Here is a 26,960-nt window from a genome sequence, read left to right on the forward strand (position 1 = left end):
AACTCACATAGTTTAACCTTTCTTTTCATAGAGCAGTTTGGAAACACTCTGTTTGTAAAGTCTGCAAGTGGATATATGGACCGCATTGAGGCCTTCGTTGGAAACGGGATTTCTTCATTTCATGCTAGACAGAAGAATTCTCAGTAACTTCTTTGTGCTGTGTGTATTCAACTCACAGAGTGGAACGTCCCTTTGCACAGAGCAGATTTGAAACACTCTTTTTGTGGAATTTGCAAGTGGAGATTTCAAGCGATTTGATGCCACCAGTAGAAAAGGAAATATCTTCAAATAAAAACTAGACAGAATCATTCTCAGAAACTACTTTGTGATGTGTGCCTTCAACTCACAGAGTTTAACCTTTCTTTTCTTAGAGCAGTTTAGAAACACTCTGCTTGTTATGTCTGCAAGTGGATATTTGGACCTCTTTGAGGCCTTCGTTGCAAACGGGGTTTCTTCCTTTCATGCTAGACTAAGAAGAGTTCTCAGTAACTTTTTTGTGTTGTGTGTATTCAACTCACAGAGTTGAACCTTGCTTTAGAGAGAGCAGATTTGAAACACTCTTGCTGTGGCATTTTCAGGTGGAGATTTCAAGCGATTTGAGGACAATTGCAGAAAAGGAAATATCTTCGTATAATAACCAGACAGAATCATTCTCAGAAAGTGCTTTGTGATGTGTGCGTTCAACTCACAGAGTTTAACCTTTCTTTTCATAGAGGAGTTTGGAAACACACTGTTTGTAAAGTCTGCAATTGGATATATGGACCTGTTTGAGGCCTTCGTTGGAAACGGGATTTCTTCATTGAATGCTAGACGGAAGAATTCTCAGTAAATTCTTTGTGTTGTGTGCATTCAACTCACAGAGTGGAACGTCCCTTTAGACAGAGCAGATTTGAAACACTCTTTTTGCGGAATTTGCAAGTGGAGATTTCTAGCCATTTGATGCCAACAGTAGAAAGGGAAATATCTTCAAATAAAAACCAGACAGAATCATTCTCAGAAAATTCTTTGTGATGTGTGCTTTCAACTCACATAGTTTAACCTTTCTTTTCATAGAGCAGTTTGGAAACACTCTGTTTGTAAAGTCTGCAAGTGGATATATGGACCGCATTGAGGCCTTCGTTGGAAACGGGATTTCTTCATTTCATGCTAGACAGAAGAATTCTCAGTAACTTCTTTGTGCTGTGTGTATTGAACTCACAGAGTGGAACGTCCCTTTGCACAGAGCAGATTTGAAACACTCTTTTTGTGGAATTTGCAAGTGGAGATTTCAAGCGATCTGATGCCAACAGTAGAAAAGGAAATATCTTCAAATAAAAACTAGACAGAATCATTCTCAGAAACTACTTTGTGATGTGTGCCTTCAACTCACAGAGTTTAACCTTTCTTTTCTTAGAGCAGTTTAGAAACACTCTGCTTGTTATGTCTGCAAGTGGATATTTGGACCTCTTTGAGGCCTTCGTTGCAAACGGGGTTTCTTCCTTTCATGCTAGACTAAGAAGAGTTCTCAGTAACTTTTTTGTGTTGTGTGTATTCAACTCACAGAGTTGAACCTTGCTTTAGAGAGAGCAGATTTGAAACACTCTTGCTGTGGCATTTTCAGGTGGAGATTTCAAGCGATTTGAGGACAATTGCAGAAAAGGAAATATCTTCGTATAATAACCAGACAGAATCATTCTCAGAAAGTGCTTTGTGATGTGTGCGTTCCACTCACAGAGTTTAACCTTTCTTTTCATAGAGGAGTTTGGAAACACACTGTTTGTAAAGTCTGCAAGTGGATATATGGACCTGTTTGAGGCCTTCGTTGGAAACGGGATTTCTTCATTGAATGCTAGACGGAAGAATTCTCAGTAAATTCTTTGTGTTGTGTGCATTCAACTCACAGAGTGGAACGTCCCTTTAGACAGAGCAGATTTGAAACACTCTTTTTGCGGAATTTGCAAGTGGAGATTTCTAGCCATTTGATGCCAACAGTAGAAAGGGAAATATCTTCAAATAAAAACCAGACAGAATCATTCTCAGAAAATTCTTTGTGATGTGTGCGTTCAACTCACATAGTTTAACCTTTCTTTTCATAGAGCAGTTTGGAAACACTCTGTTTGTAAAGTCTGCAAGTGGATATATGGACCGCATTGAGGCCTTCGTTGGAAACGGGATTTCTTCATTTCATGCTAGACAGAAGAATTCTCAGTAACTTCTTTGTGCTGTGTGTATTCAACTCACAGAGTGGAACGTCCCTTTGCACAGAGCAGATTTGAAACACTCTTTTTGTGGAGTTTGCAAGTGGAGATTTCAAGCGATTTGATGCCAACAGTAGAAAAGGAAATATCTTCAAATAAAAACTAGACAGAATCATTCTCAGAAACTACTTTGTGATGTGTGCCTTCAACTCACAGAGTTTAACCTTTCTTTTCTTAGAGCAGTTTAGAAACACTCTGCTTGTTATGTCTGCAAGTGGATATTTGGACCTCTTTGAGGCCTTCGTTGCAAACGGGGTTTCTTCCTTTCATGCTAGACTAAGAAGAGTTCTCAGTAACTTTTTTGTGTTGTGTGTATTCAACTCACAGAGTTGAACCTTGCTTTAGAGAGAGCAGATTTGAAACACTCTTGCTGTGGCATTTTCAGGTGGAGATTTCAAGCGATTTGAGGACAATTGCAGAAAAGGAAATATCTTCGTATAACAACCAGACAGAATCATTCTCAGAAAGTGCTTTGTGATGTGTGCGTTCAACTCACAGAGTTTAACCTTTCTTTTCATAGAGGAGTTTGGAAACACACTGTTTGTAAAGTCTGCAATTGGATATATGGACCTGTTTGAGGCCTTCGTTGGAAACGGGATTTCTTCATTGAATGCTAGACGGAAGAATTCTCAGTAAATTCTTTGTGTGGTGTGCATTCAACTCACAGAGTGGAACGTCCCTTTAGACAGAGCAGATTTGAAACACTCTTTTTGCGGAATTTGCAAGTGGAGATTTCTAGCCATTTGATGCCAACAGTAGAAAGGGAAATATCTTCAAATAAAAACCAGACAGAATCATTCTCAGAAAATTCTTTGTGATGTGTGCGTTCAACTCACATAGTTTAACCTTTCTTTTCATAGAGCAGTTTGGAAACACTCTGTTTGTAAAGTCTGCAAGTGGATATATGGACCGCATTGAGGCCTTCGTTGGAAACGGGATTTCTTCATTTCATGCTAGACAGAAGAATTCTCAGTAACTTCCTTGTGCTGTGTGTATTCAACTCACAGAGTGGAACGTCCCTTTGCACAGAGCAGATTTGAAACACTCTTTTTGTGGAGTTTGCAAGTGGAGATTTCAAGCGATTTGATGCCAACAGTAGGAAAGGAAATATCTTCAAATAAAAACTAGACAGAATCATTCTCAGAAACTACTTTGTGATGTCTGCCTTCAACTCACAGAGTTTAACCTTTCTTTTCTTAGAGCAGTTTAGAAACACTCTGCTTGTTATGTCTGCAAGTGGATATTTGGACCTTCTTTGAGGCCTTCGTTGCAAACGGGGTTTCTTCCTTTCATGCTAGACTAAGAAGAGTTCTCAGTAACTTTTTTGTGTTGTGTGTATTCAACTCACAGAGTTGAACCTTGCTTTAGAGAGAGCAGATTTGAAACACTCTTGCTGTGGCATTTTCAGGTGGAGATTTCAAGCGATTTGAGGACAATTGCAGAAAAGGAAATATCTTCGTATAATAACCAGACAGAATCATTCTCAGAAAGTGCTTTGTGATGTGTGCGTTCCACTCACAGAGTTTAACCTTTCTTTTCATAGAGGAGTTTGGAAACACACTGTTTGTAAAGTCTGCAAGTGGATATATGGACCTGTTTGAGGCCTTCGTTGGAAACGGGATTTCTTCATTGAATGCTAGACGGAAGAATTCTCAGTAAATTCTTTGTGTTGTGTGCATTCAACTCACAGAGTGGAACGTCCCTTTAGACAGAGCAGATTTGAAACACTCTTTTTGCGGAATTTGCAAGTGGAGATTTCTAGCCATTTGATGCCAACAGTAGAAAGGGAAATATCTTCAAATAAAAACCAGACAGAATCATTCTCAGAAAATTCTTTGTGATGTGTGCGTTCAACTCACATAGTTTAACCTTTCTTTTCATAGAGCAGTTTGGAAACACTCTGTTTGTAAAGTCTGCAAGTGGATATATGGACCGCATTGAGGCCTTCGTTGGAAACGGGATTTCTTCATTTCATGCTAGACAGAAGAATTCTCAGTAACTTCTTTGTGCTGTGTGTATTCAACTCACAGAGTGGAACGTCCCTTTGCACAGAGCAGATTTGAAACACTCTTTTTGTGGAATTTGCAAGTGGAGATTTCAAGCGATTTGATGCCAACAGTAGAAAAGGAAATATCTTCAAATAAAAACTAGACAGAATCATTCTCAGAAACTACTTTGTGATGTGTGCCTTCAACTCACAGAGTTTAACCTTTCTTTTCTTAGAGCAGTTTAGAAACACTCTGCTTGTTATGTCTGCAAGTGGATATTTGGACCTCTTTGAGGCCTTCGTTGCAAACGGGGTTTCTTCCTTTCATGCTAGACTAAGAAGAGTTCTCAGTAACTTTTTTGTGTTGTGTGTATTCAACTCACAGAGTTGAACCTTGCTTTAGAGAGAGCAGATTTGAAACACTCTTGCTGTGGCATTTTCAGGTGGAGATTTCAAGCGATTTGAGGACAACTGCAGAAAAGGAAATATCTTCGTATAATAACCAGACAGAATCATTCTCAGAAAGTGCTTTGTGATGTGTGCGTTCAACTCACAGAGTTTAACCTTTCTTTTCATAGAGGAGTTTGGAAACACACTGTTTGTAAAGTCTGCAAGTGGATATATGGACCTGTTTGAGGCCTTCGTTGGAAACGGGATTTCTTCATTGAATGCTAGACGGAAGAATTCTCAGTAAATTCTTTGTGTTGTGTGCATTCAACTGACAGAGTGGAACGTCCCTTTAGACAGAGCAGATTTGAAACACTCTTTTTGCGGAATTTGCAAGTGGAGATTTCTAGCCATTTGATGCCAACAGTAGAAAGGGAAATATCTTCAAATAAAAACCAGACAGAATCATTCTCAGAAAATTCTTTGTGATGTGTGCGTTCAACTCACATAGTTTAACCTTTCTTTTCATAGAGCAGTTTGGAAACACTCTGTTTGTAAAGTCTGCAAGTGGATATATGGACCGCATTGAGGCCTTCGTTGGAAACGGGATTTCTTCATTTCATGCTAGACAGAAGAATTCTCAGTAACTTCTTTGTGCTGTGTGTATTCAACTCACAGAGTGGAACGTCCCTTTGCACAGAGCAGATTTGAAACACTCTTTTTCTGGAGTTTGCAAGTGGAGATTTCAAGCGATTTGATGCCAACAGTAGAAAAGGAAATATCTTCAAATAAAAACTAGACAGAATCATTCTCAGAAACTACTTTGTGATGTGTGCCTTCAACTCACAGAGTTTAACCTTTCTTTTCTTAGAGCAGTTTAGAAACACTCTGCTTGTTATGTCTGCAAGTGGATATTTGGACCTCTTTGAGGCCTTCGTTGCAAACGGGGTTTCTTCCTTTAATGCTAGACTAAGAAGAGTTCTCAGTAACTTTTTGTGTTGTGTGTATTCAACTCACAGAGTTGAACCTTGCTTTAGAGAGAGCAGATTTGAAACACTCTTGCTGTGGCATTTTCAGGTGGAGATTTCAAGCGATTTGAGGACAATTGCAGAAAAGGAAATATCTTCGTATAATAACCAGACAGAATCATTCTCAGAAAGTGCTTTGTGATGTGTGCGTTCCACTCACAGAGTTTAACCTTTCTTTTCATAGAGGAGTTTGGAAACACACTATTTGTAAAGTCTGCAAGTGGATATATGGACCTGTTTGAGGCCTTCGTTGGAAACGGGATTTCTTCATTGAATGCTAGACGGAAGAATTCTCAGTAAATTCTTTGTGTTGTGTGCATTCAACTGACAGAGTGGAACGTCCCTTTAGACAGAGCAGATTTGAAACACTCTTTTTGCGGAATTTGCAAGTGGAGATTTCTAGCCATTTGATGCCAACAGTAGAAAGGGAAATATCTTCAAATAAAAACCAGACAGAATCATTCTCAACAACTACTTTGTGATGTGTGGTTTCAACTCACAAAGTTTAACCTTTCTTTTCATAGAGCAGTTTGGAAACACTCTGTTTGTAAAGTCTGCAAGTGGATATATGGACCGCATTGAGGCCTTCGTTGGAAACGGGATTTCTTCATTTCATGCTAGACAGAAGAATTCTCAGTAACTTCTTTGTGCTGTGTGTATTCAACTCACAGAGTGGAACGTCCCTTTGCACAGAGCAGATTTGAAACACTCTTTTTGTGGAGTTTGCAAGTGGAGATTTCAAGCGATTTGATGCCAACAGTAGAAAAGGAAGTATCTTCAAATAAAAACTAGACAGAATCATTCTCAGAAAATTCTTTGTGATGTGTGCGTTCAACTCACATAGTTTAACCTTTCTTTTCTTAGAGCAGTTTAGAAACACTCTGCTTGTTATGTCTGCAAGTGGATATTTGGACCTCTTTGAGGCCTTCGTTGCAAACGGGGTTTCTTCCTTTCATGCTAGACTAAGAAGAGTTCTCAGTAACTTTTTTGTGTTGTGTGTATTCAACTCACAGAGTTGAAACTTGCTTTAGAGAGAGCAGATTTGAAACACTCTTGCTGTGGCATTTTCAGGTGGAGATTTCAAGCGATTTGAGGACAATTGCAGAAAAGGAAATATCTTCGTATAATAACCAGACAGAATCATTCTCAGAAAGTGCTTTGTGATGTGTGCGTTCAACTCACAGAGTTTAACCTTTCCTTTCATAGAGGAGTTTGGAAACACACTGTTTGTAAAGTCTGCAATTGGATATATGGACCTGTCTGAGGACTTCGTTGGAAACGGGATTTCTTCATTGAATGCTAGACGGAAGAATTCTCAGTAAATTCTTTGTGTTGTGTGCATTCAACTCACAGAGTGGAACGTCTCTTTAGACAGAGCAGATTTGAAACACTCTTTTTGCGGAATTTACAAGTGGAGATTTCTAGCCGTTTGATGCCAACAGTAGAAAGGGAAATATCTTCAAATAAAAACCAGACAGAATCATTCTCAGAAAATTCTTTGTGATGTGTGCGTTCAACTCACATAGTTTAACCTTTCTTTTCATAGAGCAGTTTGGAAACACTCTGTTTGTAAAGTCTGCAAGTGGATATATGGACCGCATTGAGGCCTTCGTTGGAAACGGGATTTCTTCATTTCATGCTAGACAGAAGAATTCTCAGTAACTTCTTTGTGCTGTGTGTATTCAACTCACAGAGTGGAACGTCCCTTTGCACAGAGCAGATTTGAAACACTCTTTTTGTGGAGTTTGCAAGTGGAGATTTCAAGCGATTTGATGCCAACAGTAGAAAAGGAAATATCTTCAAATAAAAACTAGACAGAATCATTCTCAGAAACTACTTTGTGATGTGTGCCTTCAACTCACAGAGTTTAACCTTTCTTTTCTTAGAGCAGTTTAGAAACACTCTGCTTGTTATGTCTGCAAGTGGATATTTGGACCTCTTTGAGGCCTTCGTTGCAAACGGGGTTTCTTCCTTTCATGCTAGACTAAGAAGAGTTCTCAGTAACTTTTTTGTGTTGTGTGTATTCAACTCACAGAGTTGAACCTTGCTTTAGAGAGAGCAGATTTGAAACACTCTTGCTGTGGCATTTTCAGGTGGAGATTTCAAGCGATTTGAGGACAATTGCAGAAAAGGAAATATCTTCGTATAATAACCAGACAGAATCATTCTCAGAAAGTGCTTTGTGATGTGTGCGTTCCACTCACAGAGTTTAACCTTTCTTTTCATAGAGGAGTTTGGAAACACACTGTTTGTAAAGTCTGCAAGTGGATATATGGACCTGTTTGAGGCCTTCGTTGGAAACGGGATTTCTTCATTGAATGCTAGACGGAAGAATTCTCAGTAAATTCTTTGTGTTGTGTGCATTCAACTCACAGAGTGGAACGTCCCTTTAGACAGAGCAGATTTGAAACACTCTTTTTGCGGAATTTGCAAGTGGAGATTTCTAGCCATTTGATGCCAACAGTAGAAAGGGAAATATCTTCAAATAAAAACCAGACAGAATCATTCTCAGTAAAATTCTTTGTGATGTGTGCGTTCAACTCACATAGTTTAACCTTTCTTTTCATAGAGCAGTTTGGAAACACTCTGTTTGTAAAGTCTGCAAGTGGATATATGGACCGCATTGAGGCCTTTGTTGGAAACGGGATTTCTTCATTTCATGCTAGACAGAAGAATTCTCAGTAACTTCTTTGTGCTGTGTGTATTCAACTCACAGAGTGGAACGTCCCTTTGCACAGAGCAGATTTGAAACACTCTTTTTGTGGAGTTTGCAAGTGGAGATTTCAAGCGATTTGATGCCAACAGTAGAAAAGGAAATATCTTCAAATAAAAACTAGACAGAATCATTCTCAGAAACTACTTTGTGATGTGTGCCTTCAACTCACAGAGTTTAACCTTTCTTTTCTTAGAGCAGTTTAGAAACACTCTGCTTGTTATGTCTGCAAGTGGATATTTGGACCTCTTTGAGGCCTTCGTTGCAAACGGGGTTTCTTCCTTTCATGCTAGACTAAGAAGAGTTCTCAGTAACTTTTTTGTGTTGTGTGTATTCAACTCACAGAGTTGAACCTTGCTTTAGAGAGAGCAGATTTGAAACACTCTTGCTGTGGCATTTTCAGGTGGAGATTTCAAGCGATTTGAGGACAATTGCAGAAAAGGAAATATCTTCGTATAATAACCAGACAGAATCATTCTCAGAAAGTGCTTTGTGATGTGTGCGTTCCACTCACAGAGTTTAACCTTTCTTTTCATAGAGGAGTTTGGAAACACACTGTTTGTAAAGTCTGCAAGTGGATATATGGACCTGTTTGAGGCCTTCGTTGGAAACGGGATTTCTTCATTGAATGCTAGACGGAAGAATTCTCAGTAAATTCTTTGTGTTGTGTGCATTCAACTCACAGAGTGGAACGTCCCTTTAGACAGAGCAGATTTGAAACACTCTTTTTGCGGAATTTGCAAGTGGAGATTTCTAGCAATTTGATGCCAACAGTAGAAAGGGAAATATCTTCAAATAAAAACCAGACAGAATCATTCTCAGAAAATTCTTTGTGATGTGTGCGTTCAGCTCACATAGTTTAAATTTTCTTTTAATAGAGCAGTTTGGAAACACTCTGTTTGTAAAGTCTGCAAGTAGATATATGGACCGCTTTGAGGCCTTCGTTGGAAACCGGATTTCTTCCTTTAATGCTAGACTAAGAAGAATTCTCAGTAACTTCTTTGTGCTGTGTGTATTCAACTCACAGAGTGGAACGTCCCTTTACACAGAGCAGATTTGAAACACTCTTTTTGTGGAGTTTGCAAGTGGAGATTTCAAGCGATTTGATGCCAACAGTAGAAAAGGAAATATCTTCAAATAAAAACTAGACAGAATCATTCTCAGAAACTACTTTGTGATGTGTGCCTTCAACTCACAGAGTTTAACCTTTCTTTTCTTAGAGCAGTTTAGAAACACTCTGCTTGTTATGTCTGCAAGTGGATATTTGGACCTCTTTGAGGCCTTCGTTGCAAACGGGGTTTCTTCCTTTCATGCTAGACTAAGAAGAGTTCTCAGTAACTTTTTTGTGTTGTGTGTATTCAACTCACAGAGTTGAACCTTGCTTTAGAGAGAGCAGATTTGAAACACTCTTGCTGTGGCATTTTCAGGTGGAGATTTCAAGCGATTTGAGGACAATTGCAGAAAAGGAAATATCTTCGTATAACAACCAGACAGAAATCATTCTCAGAAAGTGCTTTGTGATGTGTGCGTTCAACTCACAGAGTTTAACCTTTCTTTTCATAGAGGAGTTTGGAAACACACTGTTAGTAAAGTCTGCAGGTGGATATATGGACCTGTTTGAGGCCTTCGTTGGAAACGGGATTTCTTCATTGAATGCTAGACGGAAGAATTCTCAGTAAATTCTTTGTGTTGTGTGCATTCAACTCACAGAGTGGAACGTCCCTTTAGACAGAGCAGATTTGAAACACTCTTTTTGCGGAATTTGCAAGTGGAGATTTCTAGCCATTTGATGCCAACAGTAGAAAGGGAAATATCTTCAAATAAAAACCAGACAGAATCATTCTCAGAAAATTCTTTGTGATGTGTGCGTTCAACTCACATAGTTTAACCTTTCTTTTCATAGAGCAGTTTGGAAACACTCTGTTTGTAAAGTCTGCAAGTGGATATATGGACCGCATTGAGGCCTTCGTTGGAAACGGGATTTCTTCATTTCATGCTAGACAGAAGAATTCTCAGTAACTTCTTTGTGCTGTGTGTATTCAACTCACAGAGTGGAACGTCCCTTTGCACAGAGCAGATTTGAAACACTCTTTTTGTGGAGTTTGCAAGTGGAGATTTCAAGCGATTTGATGCCAACAGTAGAAAAGGAAATATCTTCAAATAAAAACTAGACAGAATCATTCTCAGAAACTACTTTGTGATGTGTGCCTTCAACTCACAGAGTTTAACCTTTCTTTTCTTAGAGCAGTTTAGAAACACTCTGCTTGTTATGTCTGCAAGTGGATATTTGGACCTCTTTGAGGCCTTCGTTGCAAACGGGGTTTCTTCCTTTAATGCTAGACTAAGAAGAGTTCTCAGTAACTTTTTTGTGTTGTGTGTATTCAACTCACAGAGTTGAACCTTGCTTTAGAGAGAGCAGATTTGAAACACTCTTGCTGTGGCATTTTCAGGTGGAGATTTCAAGCGATTTGAGGACAATTGCAGAAAAGGAAATATCTTCGTATAATAACCAGACAGAATCATTCTCAGAAAGTGCTTTGTGATGCGTGCGTTCAACTCACAGAGCTTAACCTTTCTTTTCATAGAGGAGTTTGGAAACGACACTGTTTGTAAAGTCTGCAAGTGGATATATGGACCTGTTTGAGGCCTTCGTTGGAAACGGGATTTTATCATATAATGCTAGACGGAAGAATTCTCAGTAAATTCTTTGTGTTGTGTGCATTCAACTCACAGAGTGGAACGTCCCTTTAGACAGAGCAGATTTGAAACACTCTTTTTGCGGAATTTGCAAGTGGAGATTTCTAGCCATTTGATGCCAACAGTAGAAAGGGAAATATCTTCAAATAAAAACTAGACAGAATCATCCTCAGAAAATTCTTTGTGATGTGTGCCTTCAACTCACAAAGTTTAACCTTTCTTTTCTTAGAGCAGTTTAGAAACACTCTGCTTGTTATGTCTGCAAGTGGATATTTGGACCTCTTTGAGGCCTTCGTTGCAAACGGGGTTTCTTCCTTTCATGCTAGACTAAGAAGAGTTCTCAGTAACTTTTTTGTGTTGTGTGTATTCAACTCACAGAGTTGAACCTTGCTTTAGAGAGAGCAGATTTGAAACACTCTTGCTGTGGCATTTTCAGGTGGAGATTTCAAGCGTTTTGAGGACAATTACAGAAAAGGAAATAGCTTCGTATAACAACCAGACAGAATCATTCTCAGAAAGTGCTTTGTGATGTGTGCGTTCAACTCACAGAGTTTAACCTTTCTTTTCATAGAGGAGTTTGGAAACACACTGTTTGTAAAGTCTGCAATTGGATATATGGACCTGTTTGAGGCCTTCGTTGGAAACGGGATTTCTTCATTGAATGCTAGACGGAAGAATTCTCAGTAAATTCTTTGTGTTGTGTGCATTCAACTCACAGAGTGGAACGTCCCTTTAGACAGAGCAGATTTGAAACACTCTTTTTGCGGAATTTGCAAGTGGAGATTTCTAGCCATTTGATGCCAACAGTAGAAAGGGAAATATCTTCAAATAAAAACCAGACAGAATCATTCTCAGAAAATTCTTTGTGATGTGTGCGTTCAACTCACATAGTTTAACCTTTCTTTTCATGGAGCAGTTTGGAAACACTCTGTTTGTAAAGTCTGCAAGTGGATATATGGACCGCATTGAGGCCTTCGTTGGAAACGGGATTTCTTCATTTCATACTAGACAGAAGAATTCTCAGTAACTTCTTTGTGCTGTGTGTATTCAACTCACAGAGTGGAACGTCCCTTTACACAGAGCAGATTTGAAACACTCTTTTTGTGGAGTTTGCAAGTGGAGATTTCAAGCGATTTGATGCCAACCGTAGAAAAGGAAATATCTTCAAATAAAAACTAGACAGAATCATTCTCAGAAACTACTTTGTGATGTGTGCCTTCAACTCACAGAGTTTAACCTTTCTTTTCTTAGAGCAGTTTAGAAACACTATGCTTGTTATGTCTGCAAGTGGATATTTGGACCTCTTTGAGGCCTTCGTTGCAAACGGGGTTTCTTCCTTTCATGCTAGACTAAGAAGAGTTCTCAGTAACTTTTTTGTGTTGTGTGTATTCAACTCACAGAGTTGAACCTTGCTTTAGAGAGAGCAGATTTGAAACACTCTTGCTGTGGCATTTTCAGGTGGAGATTTCAAGCGATTTGAGGACAATTGCAGAAAAGGAAATATCTTCGTATAATAACCAGACAGAATCATTCTCAGAAAGTGCTTTGTGATGTGTGCGTTCAACTCACAGAGTTTAACCTTTCTTTTCATAGAGGAGTTTGGAAACACACTGTTTGTAAAGTCTGCAATTGGATATATGGACCTGTTTGAGGCCTTCGTTGGAAACGGGATTTCTTCATTGAATGCTAGGCAGAAGAATTCTCAGTAAATTCTTTGTGTTGTGTGCATTCAACTCACAGAGTGGAACGTCCCTTTAGACAGAGCAGATTTGAAACACTCTTTTTGCGGAATTTGCAAGTGGAGATTTCTAGCCATTTGATGCCAACAGTAGAAAGGGAAATATCTTCAAATAAAAACCAGACAGAATCATTCTCAGAAAATTCTTTGTGATGTGTGCGTTCAACTCACATAGTTTAACCTTTCTTTTCATAGAGCAGTTTGGAAACACTCTGTTTGTAAAGTCTGCAAGTGGATATATGGACCGCATTGAGGCCTTCGTTGGAAACGGGATTTCTTCATTTCATGCTAGACAGAAGAATTCTCAGTAACTTCTTTGTGCTGTGTGTATTCAACTCACAGAGTGGAACGTCCCTTTGCACAGAGCAGATTTGAAACACTCTTTTTGTGGAGTTTGCAAGTGGAGATTTCAAGCGATTTGATGCCAACAGTAGAAAAGGAAATATCTTCAAATAAAAACTAGACAGAATCATTCTCAGAAACTACTTTGTGATGTGTGCCTTCAACTCACAGAGTTTAACCTTTCTTTTCTTAGAGCAGTTTAGAAACACTCTGCTTGTTATGTCTGCAAGTGGATATTTGGACCTCTTTGAGGCCTTCGTTGCAAACGGGGTTTCTTCCTTTCATGCTAGACTAAGAAGAGTTCTCAGTAACTTTTTTGTGTTGTGTGTATTCAACTCACAGAGTTGAACCTTGCTTTAGAGAGAGCAGATTTGAAACACTCTTGCTGTGGCATTTTCAGGTGGAGATTTCAAGCGATTTGAGGACAATTGCAGAAAAGGAAATATCTTCGTATAATAACCAGACAGAATCATTCTCAGAAAGTGCTTTGTGATGTGTGCGTTCAACTCACAGAGTTTAACCTTTCTTTTCATAGAGGAGTTTGGAAACACACTGTTTGTAAAGTCTGCAAGTGGATATATGGACCTGTTTGAGGCCTTCGTTGGAAACGGGATTTCTTCATTGAATGCTAGACGGAAGAATTCTCAGTAAATTCTTTGTGTTGTGTGCATTCAACTCACAGAGTGGAACGTCCCTTTAGACAGAGCAGATTTGAAACACTCTTTTTGCGGAATTTGCAAGTGGAGATTTCTAGCCATTTGATGCCAACAGTAGAAAGGGAAATATCTTCAAATAAAAACCAGACAGAATCATTCTCAGAAAATTCTTTGTGATGTGTGCGTTCAACTCACATAGTTTAACCTTTCTTTTCATAGAGCAGTTTGGAAACACTCTGTTTGTAAAGTCTGCAAGTGGATATATGGACCGCATTGAGGCCTTCGTTGGAAACGGGATTTCTTCATTTCATGCTAGACAGAAGAATTCTCAGTAACTTCTTTGTGCTGTGTGTATTCAACTCACAGAGTGGAACGTCCCTTTACACAGAGCAGATTTGAAACACTCTTTTTGTGGAGTTTGCAAGTGGAGATTTCAAGCGATTTGATGCCAACAGTAGAAAAGGAAATATCTTCAAATAAAAACTAGACAGAATCATTCTCAGAAACTACTTTGTGATGTGTGCCTTCAACTCACAGAGTTTAACCTTTCTTTTCTTAGAGCAGTTTAGAAACACTCTGCTTGTTATGTCTGCAAGTGGATATTTGGACCTCTTTGAGGCCTTCGTTGCAAACGGGGTTTCTTCCTTTCATGCTAGACTAAGAAGAGTTCTCAGTAACTTTTTTGTGTTGTGTGTATTCAACTCACAGAGTTGAACCTTGCTTTAGAGAGAGCAGATTTGAAACACTCTTGCTGTGGCATTTTCAGGTGGAGATTTCAAGCGATTTGAGGACAATTGCAGAAAAGGAAATATCTTCGTATAATAACCAGACAGAATCATTCTCAGAAAGTGCTTTGTGATGTGTGCGTTCAACTCACAGAGTTTAACCTTTCTTTTCATAGAGGAGTTTGGAAACACACTGTTTGTAAAGTCTGCAATTGGATATATGGACCTGTTTGAGGCCTTCGTTGGAAACGGGATTTCTTCATTGAATGCTAGACGGAAGAATTCTCAGTAAATTCTTTGTGTTGTGTGCATTCAACTCACAGAGTGGAACGTCCCTTTAGACAGAGCAGATTTGAAACACTCTTTTTGCGGAATTTGCAAGTGGAGATTTCTAGCCATTTGATGCCAACAGTAGAAAGGGAAATATCTTCAAATAAAAACCAGACAGAATCATTCTCAGAAAATTCTTTGTGATGTGTGCGTTCAACTCACATAGTTTAACCTTTCTTTTCATAGAGCAGTTTGGAAACACTCTGTTTGTAAAGTCTGCAAGTGGATATATGGACCGCATTGAGGCCTTCGTTGGAAATGGGATTTCTTCATTTCATGCTAGACAGAAGAATTCTCAGTAACTTCTTTGTGCTGTGTGTATTCAACTCACAGAGTGGAACGTCCCTTTACACAGAGCAGATTTGAAACACTCTTTTTGTGGAGTTTGCAAGTGGAGATTTCAAGCGATTTGATACCAGCAGTAGAAAAGGAAATATCTTCAAATAAAAACTAGACAGAATCATTCTCAGAAACTACTTTGTGATGTGTGCCTTCAACTCACAGAGTTTAACCTTTCTTTTCTTAGAGCAGTTTAGAAACACTCTGCTTGTTATGTCTGCAAGTGGATATTTGGACCTCTTTGAGGCCTTCGTTGCAAACGGGGTTTCTTCCTTTCATGCTAGACTAAGAAGAGTTCTCAGTAACTTTTTTGTGTTGTGTGTATTCAACTCACAGAGTTGAACCTTGCTTTAGAGAGAGCAGATTTGAAACACTCTTGCTGTGGCATTTTCAGGTGGAGATTTCAAGCGATTTGAGGACAATTGCAGAAAAGGAAATATCTTCGTATAATAACCAGACAGAAATCATTCACAGAAAGTGCTTTGTGATGTGTGCGTTCAACTCACAGAGTTTAACCTTTCTTTTCATAGAGGAGTTTGGAAACACACTGTTTGTAAAGTCTGCAATTGGATATATGGACCTGTTTGAGGCCTTCGTTGGAAACGGGATTTCTTCATTGAATGCTAGACGGAAGAATTCTCAGTAAATTCTTTGTGTTGTGTGCATTCAACTCACAGAGTGGAACGTCCCTTTAGACAGAGCAGATTTGAAACACTCTTTTTGCGGAATTTGCAAGTGGAGATTTCTAGCCATTTGATGCCAACAGTAGAAAGGGAAATATCTTCAAATAAAAACCAGACAGAATCATTCTCAGAAAATTCTTTGTGATGTGTGCGTTCAACTCACATAGTTTAACCTTTCTTTTCATAGAGCAGTTTGGAAACACTCTGTTTGTAAAGTCTGCAAGTGGATATATGGACCGCATTGAGGCCTTCGTTGGAAACGGGATTTCTTCATTTCATGCTAGACAGAAGAATTCTCAGTAACTTCTTTGTGCTGTGTGTATTCAACTCACAGAGTGGAACGTCCCTTTACACAGAGCAGATTTGAAACACTCTTTTTGTGGAGTTTGCAAGTGGAGATTTCAAGCGATTTGATGCCAACAGTAGAAAAGGAAATATCTTCAAATAAAAACTAGACAGAATCATTCTCAGAAACTACTTTGTGATGTGTGCCTTCAACTCACAGAGTTTAACCTTTCTTTTCTTAGAGCAGTTTAGAAACACTCTGCTTGTTATGTCTGCAAGTGGATATTTGGACCTCTTTGAGGCCTTCGTTGCAAACGGGGTTTCTTCCTTTCATGCTAGACTAAGAAGAGTTCTCAGTAACTTTTTTGTGTTGTGTGTATTCAACTCACAGAGTTGAACCTTGCTTTAGAGAGAGCAGATTTGAAACACTCTTGCTGTGGCATTTTCAGGTGGAGATTTCAAGCGATTTGAGGACAATTGCAGAAAAGGAAATATCTTCGTATAATAACCAGACAGAATCATTCTCAGAAAGTGCTTTGTGATGTGTGCGTTCAACTCACAGAGTTTAACCTTTCTTTTCATAGAGGAGTTTGGAAACACACTGTTTGTAAAGTCTGCAAGTGGATATATGGACCTGTTTGAGGCCTTCGTTGGAAACGGGATTTCTTCATTGAATGCTAGACGGAAGAATTCTCAGTAAATTCTTTGTGTTGTGTGCATTCAACTCACAGAGTGGAACGTCCCTTTAGACAGAGCAGATTTGAAACACTCTTTTTGCGGAATTTGCAAGTGGAGATTTCTAGCCATTTGATGCCAACAGTAGAAAGGGAAATATCTTCAAATAAAAACCAGACAGAATCATTCTCAGAAAATTCTTTGTGATGTGTGCGTTCAACTCACATAGTTTAACCTTTCTTTTCATAGAGCAGTTTGGAAACACTCTGTTTGTAAAGTCTGCAAGTGGATATATGGACCGCATTGAGGCCTTCGTTGGAAACGGGATTTCTTCATTTCATGCTAGACAGAAGAATTCTCAGTAACTTCTTTGTGCTGTGTGTATTCAACTCACAGAGTGGAACGTCCCTTTACACAGAGCAGATTTGAAACACTCTTTTTGTGGAGTTTGCAAGTGGAGATTTCAAGCGATTTGATGCCAGCAGTAGAAAAGGAAATATCTTCAAATAAAAACTAGACAGAATCATTCTCAGAAACTACTTTGTGATGTGTGCCTTCAACTCACAGAGTTTAACCTTTCTTTTCTTAGAGCAGTTTAGAAACACTCTGCTTGTTATGTCTGCAAGTGGATATTTGGACCTCTTTGAGGCCTTCGTTGCAAACGGGGTTTCTTCCTTTCATGCTAGACTAAGAAGAGTTCTCAGTAACTTTTTTGTGTTGTGTGTATTCAAATCACAGAGTTGAACCTTGCTTTAGAGAGAGCAGATTTGAAACACTCTTGCTGTGGCATTTTCAGGTGGAGATTTCAAGCGATTTGAGGACAATTGCAGAAAAGGAAATATCTTCGTATAATAACCAGACAGAATCATTCTCAGAAAGTGCTTTGTGATGTGTGCGTTCAACTCACAGAGTTTAACTTTTCTTTCCATAGAGGAGTTTGGAAACACACTGTTTGTAAAGTCTGCAAGTGGATATATGGACCTGTTTGAGGCCTTCGTTGGAAACGGGATTTCTTCATTGAATGCTAGACGGAAGAATTCTCAGTAAATTCTTTGTGTTGTGTGCATTCAACTGACAGAGTGGAACGTCCCTTTAGACAGAGCAGATTTGAAACACTCTTTTTGCGGAATTTGCAAGTGGAGATTTCTAGCCATTTGATGCCAACAGTAGAAAGGGAAATATCTTCAAATAAAAACCAGACAGAATCATTCTCAGAAAATTCTTTGTGATGTGTGCGTTCAACTCACATAGTTTAACCTTTCTTTTCATAGAGCAGTTTGGAAACACTCTGTTTGTAAAGTCTGCAAGTGGATATATGGACCGCATTGAGGCCTTCGTTGGAAACGGGATTTCTTCATTTCATGCTAGACAGAAGAATTCTCAGTAACTTCTTTGTGCTGTGTGTATTCAACTCACAGAGTGGAACGTTCCTTTACACAGAACAGATTTGAAACACTCTTTTTGTGGAATTTGCAAGTGGAGATTTCAAGCGATTTGATGCCAACAGTAGAAAAGGAAATATCTTCAAATAAAAACTAGACAGAATCATTATCAGAAACTACTTTGTGATGTGTGCCTTCAACTCACAGAGTTTAACCTTTCTTTTCTTAGAGCAGTTTAGAAACACTCTGCTTGTTATGTCTGCAAGTGGATATTTGGACCTCTTTGAGGCCTTCGTTGCAAACGGGGTTTCTTCCTTTCATGCTAGACTAAGAAGAGTTCTCAGTAACTTTTTTGTGTTGTGTGTATTCAACTCACAGAGTTGAACCTTGCTTTAGAGAGAGCAGATTTGAAACACTCTTGCTGTGGCATTTTCAGGTGGAGATTTCAAGCGATTTGAGGACAATTGCAGAAAAGGAAATATCTTCGTATAATAACCAGACAGAATCATTCTCAGAAAGTGCTTTGTGATGTGTGCGTTCAACTCACAGAGTTTAACCTTTCTTTTCATAGAGGAGTTTGGAAACACACTGTTTGTAAAGTCTGCAATTGGATATATGGACCTGTTTGAGGCCTTCGTTGGAAACGGGATTTCTTCATTGAATGCTAGACGGAAGAATTCTCAGTAAATTCTTTGTGTTGTGTGCATTCAACTCACAGAGTGGAACGTCCCTTTAGACAGAGCAGATTTGAAACACTCTTTTTGCGGAATTTGCAAGTGGAGATTTCTAGCCATTTGATGTCAACAGTAGAAAGGGAAATATCTTCAAATAAAAACCAGACAGAATCATTCTCAGAAAATTCTTTGTGATGTGTGCGTTCAACTCACATAGTTTAACCTTTCTTTTCATAGAGCAGTTTGGAAACACTCTGTTTGTAAAGTCTGCAAGTGGATATATGGACCGCATTGAGGCCTTCGTTGGAAACGGGATTTCTTCATTTCATGCTAGACAGAAGAATTCTCAGTAACTTCTTTGTGCTGTGTGTATTCAACTCACAGAGTGGAACGTCCCTTTGCACAGAGCAGATTTGAAACACTCTTTTTGTGGAGTTTGCAAGTGGAGATTTCAAGCGATTTGATGCCAACAGTAGAAAAGGAAATATCTTCAAATAAAAACTAGACAGAATCATTCTCAGAAACTACTTTGTGATGTGTGCCTTCAACTCACAGAGTTTAACCTTTCTTTTCTTAGAGCAGTTTAGAAACACTCTGCTTGTTATGTCTGCAAGTGGATATTTGGACCTCTTTGAGGCCTTCGTTGCAAACGGGGTTTCTTCCTTTCATGCTAGACTAAGAAGAGTTCTCAGTAACTTTTTTGTGTTGTGTGTATTCAACTCACAGAGTTGAACCTTGCTTTAGAGAGAGCAGATTTTAAACATTCTTGCTGTGGCATTTTCAGGTGGAGATTTCAAGCGTTTTGAGGACAATTGCAGAAAAGGAAATATCTTCGTATAATAACCAGACAGAATCATTCTCAGAAAGTGCTTTGTGATGTGTGCGTTCCACTCACAGAGTTTAACCTTTCTTTTCATAGAGGAGTTTGGAAACACACTGTTTGTAAAGTCTGCAAGTGGATATATGGACCTGTTTGAGGCCTTCGTTGGAAACGGGATTTCTTCATTGAATGCTAGACGGAAGAATTCTCAGTAAATTCTTTGTGTTGTGTGCATTCAACTCACAGAGTGGAACGTCCCTTTAGACAGAGCAGATTTGAAACACTCTTTTTGCGGAATTTGCAAGTGGAGATTTCTAGCCATTTGATGCCAACAGTAGAAAGGGAAATATCTTCAAATAAAAACCAGACAGAATCATTCTCAGAAAATTCTTTGTGATGTGTGCGTTCAACTCACATAGTTTAACCTTTCTTTTCATAGAGCAGTTTGGAAACACTCTGTTTGTAAAGTCTGCAAGTGGATATATGGACCGCATTGAGGCCTTCGTTGGAAACGGGATTTCTTCATTTCATGCTAGACAGAAGAATTCTCAGTAACTTCTTTGTGCTGTGTGTATTCAACTCACAGAGTGGAACGTCCCTTTGCACAGAGCAGATTTGAAACACTCTTTTTGTGGAATTTGCAAGTGGAGATTTCAAGCGATTTGATGCCAACAGTAGAAAAGGAAATATCTTCAAATAAAAACTAGACAGAATCATTCTCAGAAACTACTTTGTGATGTGTGCCTTCAACTCACAGAGTTTAACCTTTCTTTTCTTAGAGCAGTTTAGAAACACTCTGCTTGTTATGTCTGCAAGTGGATATTTGGACCTCTTTGAGGCCTTCGTTGCAAACGGGGTTTCTTCCTTTCATGCTAGACTAAGAAGAGTTCTCAGTAACTTTTTTGTGTTGTGTGTATTCAACTCACAGAGTTGAACCTTGCTTTAGAGAGAGCAGATTTGAAACACTCTTGCTGTGGCATTTTCAGGTGGAGATTTCAAGCGATTTGAGGACAATTGCAGAAAAGGAAATATCTTCGTATAATAACCAGACAGAATCATTCTCAGAAAGTGCTTTGTGATGTGTGCGTTCAACTCACAGAGTTTAACCTTTCTTTTCATAGAGGAGTTTGGAAACACACTGTTTGTAAAGTCTGCAATTGGATATATGGACCTGTTTGAGGCCTTCGTTGGAAACGGGATTTCTTCATTGAATGCTAGACGGAAGAATTCTCAGTAAATTCTTTGTGTTGTGTGCATTCAACTCACAGAGTGGAACGTCCCTTTAGACAGAGCAGATTTGAAACACTCTTTTTGCGGAATTTGCAAGTGGAGATTTCTAGCCATTTGATGCCAACAGTAGAAAGGGAAACATCTTCAAATAAAAACCAGACAGAATCATTCTCAGAAAATTCTTTGTGATGTGTGCGTTCAACTCACATAGTTTAACCTTTCTTTTCATAGAGCAGTTTGGAAACACTCTGTTTGTAAAGTCTGCAAGTGGATATATGGACCGCATTGAGGCCTTCGTTGGAAACGGGGTTTCTTCATTTCATGCTAGACAGAAGAATTCTCAGTAACTTCTTTGTGCTGTGTGTATTCAACTCACAGAGTGGAACGTCCCTTTGCACAGAGCAGATTTGAAACACTCTTTTTGTGGAGTTTGCAAGTGGAGATTTCAAGCGATTTGATGCCAACAGTAGAAAAGGAAATATCTTCAAATAAAAACTAGACAGAATCATTCTCAGAAACTACTTTGTGATGTGTGCCTTCAACTCACAGAGTTTAACCTTTCTTTTCTTAGAGCAGTTTAGAAACACTCTGCTTGTTATGTCTGCAAGTGGATATTTGGACCTCTTTGAGGCCTTCGTTGCAAACGGGGTTTCTTCCTTTCATGCTAGACTAAGAAGAGTTCTCAGTAACTTTTTTGTGTTGTGTGTATTCAACTCACAGAGTTGAACCTTGCTTTAGAGAGAGCAGATTTGAAACACTCTTGCTGTGGCATTTTCAGGTGGAGATTTCAAGCGATTTGAGGACAATTGCAGAAAAGGAAATATCTTCGTATAATAACCAGACAGAATCATTCTCAGAAAGTGCTTTGTGTTGTGTGCGTTCAACTCACAGAGTTTAACCTTTCTTTTCATAGAGGAGTTTGGAAACACACTGTTTGTAAAGTCTGCAATTGGATATATGGACCTGTTTGAGGCCTTCGTTGGAAACGGGATTTCTTCATTGAATGCTAGACGGAAGAATTCTCAGTAAATTCTTTGTGTTGTGTGCATTCAACTCACAGAGTGGAACGTCCCTTTAGACAGAGCAGATTTGAAACACTCTTTTTGCGTAATTTGCAAGTGGAGATTTCTAGCCATTTGATGCCAACAGTAGAAAGGGAAATATCTTCAAATAAAAACCAGACAGAATCATTCTCAGAAAATTCTTTGTGATGTGTGCGTTCAACTCACATAGTTTAACCTTTCTTTTCATAGAGCAGTTTGGAAACACTCTGTTTGTAAAGTCTGCAAGTGGATATATGGACCGCATTGAGGCCTTCGTTGGAAACGGGATTTCTTCATTTCATGCTAGACAGAAGAATTCTCAGTAACTTCTTTGTGCTGTGTGTATTCAACTCACAGAGTGGAACGTCCCTTTACACAGAGCAGATTTGAAACACTCTTTTTGTGGAATTTGCAAGTGGAGATTTCAAGCGATTTGATGCCAACAGTAGAAAAGGAAATATCTTCAAATAAAAACTAGACAGAATCATTCTCAGAAACTACTTTGTGATGTGTGCCTTCAACTCACAGAGTTTAACCTTTCTTTTCTTAGAGCAGTTTAGAAACACTCTGCTTGTTATGTCTGCAAGTGGATATTTGGACCTCTTTGAGGCCTTCGTTGCAAACGGGGTTTCTTCCTTTCATGCTAGACTAAGAAGAGTTCTCAGTAACTTTTTTGTGTTGTGTGTATTCAACTCACAGAGTTGAACCTTGCTTTAGAGAGAGCAGATTTGAAACACTCTTGCTGTGGCATTTTCAGGTGGAGATTTCAAGCGATTTGAGGACAATTGCAGAAAAGGAAATATCTTCGTATAATAACCAGACAGAATCATTCTCAGAAAGTGCTTTGTGATGTGTGCGTTCCACTCACAGAGTTTAACCTTTCTTTTCATAGAGGAGTTTGGAAACAAACTGTTTGTAAAGTCTGCAAGTGGATATATGGACCTGTTTGAGGCCTTCGTTGGAAACGGGATTTCTTCATTGAATGCTAGACGGAAGAATTCTCAGTAAATACTTTGTGTTGTGTGCATTCAACTGACAGAGTGGAACGTCCCTTTAGACAGAGCAGATTTGAAACACTCTTTTTGCGGAATTTGCAAGTGGAGATTTCTAGCCATTTGATGCCAACAGTAGAAAGGGAAATATCTTCAAATAAAAACCAGACAGAATCATTCTCAGAAAATTCTTTGTGATGTGTGCGTTCAACTCACATAGTTTAACCTTTCTTTTCATAGAGCAGTTTGGAAACACTCTGTTTGTAAAGTCTGCAAGTGGATATATGGACCGCATTGAGGCCTTCGTTGGAAACGGGATTTCTTCATTTCATGCTAGACAGAAGAATTCTCAGTAACTTCTTTGTGCTGTGTGTATTCAACTCACAGAGTGGAACGTCCCTTTGCACAGAGCAGATTTTAAACACTCTTTTTGTGGAGTTTGCAAGTGGAGATTTCAAGCGATTTGATGCCAACAGTAGAAAAGGAAATATCTTCAAATAAAAACTAGACAGAATCATTCTCAGAAACTACTTTGTGATGTGTGCCTTCAACTCACAGAGTTTAACCTTTCTTTTCTTAGAGCACTTTAGAAACACTCTGCTTGTTATGTCTGCAAGTGGATATTTGGACCTCTTTGAGGCCTTCGTTGCAAACGGGGTTTCTTCCTTTCATGCTAGACTAAGAAGAGTTCTCAGTAACTTTTTTGTGTTGTGTGTATTCAACTCACAGAGTTGAACCTTGCTTTAGAGAGAGCAGATTTGAAACACTCTTGCTGTGGCATTTTCAGGTGGAGATTTCAAGCGATTTGAGGACAATTGCAGAAAAGGAAATATCTTCGTATAATAACCAGACAGAATCATTCTCAGAAAGCGCTTTGTGATGTGTGCGTTCCACTCACAGAGTTTAACCTTTCTTTTCATACAGGAGTTTGGAAACACACTGTTTGTAAAGTCTGCAAGTGGATATATGGACCTGTTTGAGGCCTTCGTTGGAAACGGGATTTCTTCATTGAATGCTAGACGGAAGAATTCTCAGTAAATTCTTTGTGTTGTGTGCATTCAACTCACAGAGTGGAACGTCCCTTTAGACAGAGCAGATTTGAAACACTCTTTTTGCGGAATTTGCAAGTGGAGATTTCTAGCCATTTGATGCCAACAGTAGAAAGGGAAATATCTTCAAATAAAAACCAGACAGAATCATTCTCAGAAAATTCTTTGTGATGTGTGCGTTCAACTCACATAGTTTAACCTTTCTTTTCATAGAGCAGTTTGGAAACACTCTGTTTGTAAAGTCTGCAAGTGGATATATGGACCGCATTGAGGCCTTCGTTGGAAACGGGATTTCTTCATTTCATGCTAGACAGAAGAATTCTCAGTAACTTCTTTGTGCTGTGTGTATTCAACTCACAGAGTGGAACGTCCCTTTGCACAGAGCAGATTTGAAACACTCTTTTTGTGGAGTTTGCAAGTGGAGATTTCAAGCGATTTGATGCCAACAGTAGAAAAGGAAATATCTTCAAATAAAAACTAGACAGAATCATTCTCAGAAACTACTTTGTGATGTGTGCCTTCAACTCACAGAGTTTAACCTTTCTTTTCTTAGAGCAGTTTAGAAACACTCTGCTTGTTATGTCTGCAAGTGGATATTTGGACCTCTTTGAGGCCTTCGTTGCAAACGGGGTTTCTTCCTTTCATGCTAGACTAAGAAGAGTTCTCAGTAACTTTTTCGTGTTGTGTGTATTCAACTCACAGAGTTGAACCTTGCTTTAGAGAGAGCAGATTTGAAACACTCTTGCTGTGGCATTTTCAGGTGGAGATTTCAAGCGATTTGAGGACAATTGCAGAAAAGGAAATATCTTCGTATAATAACCAGACAGAATCATTCTCAGAAAGTGCTTTGTGATGTGTGCGTTCAACTCACAGAGTTTAACCTTTCTTTTCATAGAGGAGTTTGGAAACACACTGTTTGTAAAGTCTGCAATTGGATATATGGACCTGTTTGAGGCCTTCGTTGGAAACGGGATTTCTTCATTGAATGCTAGACGGAAGAATTCTCAGTAAATTCTTTGTGTTGTGTGCATTCAACTCACAGAGTGGAACGTCCCTTTAGACAGAGCAGATTTGAAACACTCTTTTTGCGGAATTTGCAAGTGGAGATTTACTAGCCATTTGATGCCAACAGTAGAAAGGGAAATATCTTCAAATAAAAACCAGACAGAATCATTCTCAGAAAATTCTTTGTGATGTGTGCGTTCAACTCACATAGTTTAACCTTTCTTTTCATAGAGCAGTTTGGAAACACTCTGTTTGTAAAGTCTGCAAGTGGATATATGGACCGCATTGAGGCCTTCGTTGGAAACGGGATTTCTTCATTTCATGCTAGCCAGAAGAATTCTCAGTAACTTCTTTGTGCTGTGTGTATTCAACTCACAGAGTGGAACGTCCCTTTACACAGAGCAGATTTGAAACACTCTTTTTGTGGAGTTTGCAAGTGGAGATTTCAAGCGATTTGATGCCAACAGTAGAAAAGGAAATATCTTCAAATAAAAACTAGACAGAATCATTCTCAGAAACTACTTTGTGATGTGTGCCTTCAACTCACAGAGTTTAACCTTTCTTTTCTTAGAGCAGTTTAGAAACACTCTGCTTGTTATGTCTGCAAGTGGATATTTGGACCTCTTTGAGGCCTTCGTTGCAAACGGGGTTTCTTCCTTTCATGCTAGACTAAGAAGAGTTCTCAGTAACTTTTTTGTGTTGTGTGTATTCAACTCACAGAGCTGAACCTTGCTTTAGAGAGAGCAGATTTGAAACACTCTTGCTGTGGCATTTTCAGGTGGAGATTTCAAGCGATTTGAGGACAATTGCAGAAAAGGAAATATCTTCGTATAACAACCAGACAGAATCATTCTCAGAAAGTGCTTTGTGATGTGTGCGTTCAACTCACAGAGTTTAACCTTTCTTTTCATAGAGGAGTTTGGAAACACACTGTTTGTAAAGTCTGCAATTGGATATATGGACCTGTTTGAGGCCTTCGTTGGAAACGGGATTTCTTCATTGAATGCTAGACGGAAGAATTCTCAGTAAATTCTTTGTGTTGTGTGCATTCAACTCACAGAGTGGAACGTCCCTTTAGACACAGCAGATTTGAAACACTCTTTTTGCGGAATTTGCAAGTGGAGATTTCTAGCCATTTGATGCCAACAGTAGAAAGGGAAATATCTTCAAATAAAAACCAGACAGAATCATTCTCAGAAAATTCTTTGTGATGTGTGCGTTCAACTCACATAGTTTAACCTTTCTTTTCATAGAGCAGTTTGGAAACACTCTGTTTGTAAAGTCTGCAAGTGGATATATGGACCGCATTGAGGCCCTTCGTTGGAAACGGGATTTCTTCATTTCATGCTAGACAGAAGAATTCTCAGTAACTTCTTTGTGCTGTGTGTATTCAACTCACAGAGTGGAACGTCCCTTTACACAGAGCAGATTTGAAACACTCTTTTTGTGGAGTTTGCAAGTGGAGATTTCAAGCGATTTGATGCCAACAGTAGAAAAGGAAATATCTTCAAATAAAAACTAGACAGAATCATTCTCAGAAACTACTTTGTGATGTGTGCCTTCAACTCACAGAGTTTAACCTTTCTTTTCTTAGAGCAGTTTAGAAACACTCTGCTTGTTATGTCTGCAAGTGGATATTTGGACCTCTTTGAGGCCTTCGTTGCAAACGGGGTTTCTTCCTTTCATGCTAGACTAAGAAGAGTTCTCAGTAACTTTTTTGTGTTGTGTGTATTCAACTCACAGAGTTGAACCTTGCTTTAGAGAGAGCAGATTTGAAACACTCTTGCTGTGGCATTTTCAGGTGGAGATTTCAAGCGATTTGAGGACAATTGCAGAAAAGGAAATATCTTCGTATAATAACCAGACAGAATCATTCTCAGAAAGTGCTTTGTGATGTGTGCGTTCCACTCACAGAGTTTAACCTTTCTTTTCATAGAGGAGTT

At 38.9% G+C, this 26,960-nt stretch overlaps 1 annotated feature.

Moving 5' to 3' along the window:
* Positions 1-26,960: part of a centromere (Linear centromere model derived predominantly from reads generated in PMID: 17803354. This region does not represent an actual centromere sequence, as long-range ordering of repeats and unmapped WGS contigs is not provided by the model. For details of model production, see http://arxiv.org/abs/1307.0035.) that runs on past both edges of the window.

This window comes from Homo sapiens, chromosome 7 (genome assembly GCF_000001405.40).
Source record: "Homo sapiens chromosome 7, GRCh38.p14 Primary Assembly".
NCBI lineage: Eukaryota > Metazoa > Chordata > Mammalia > Primates > Hominidae > Homo > Homo sapiens.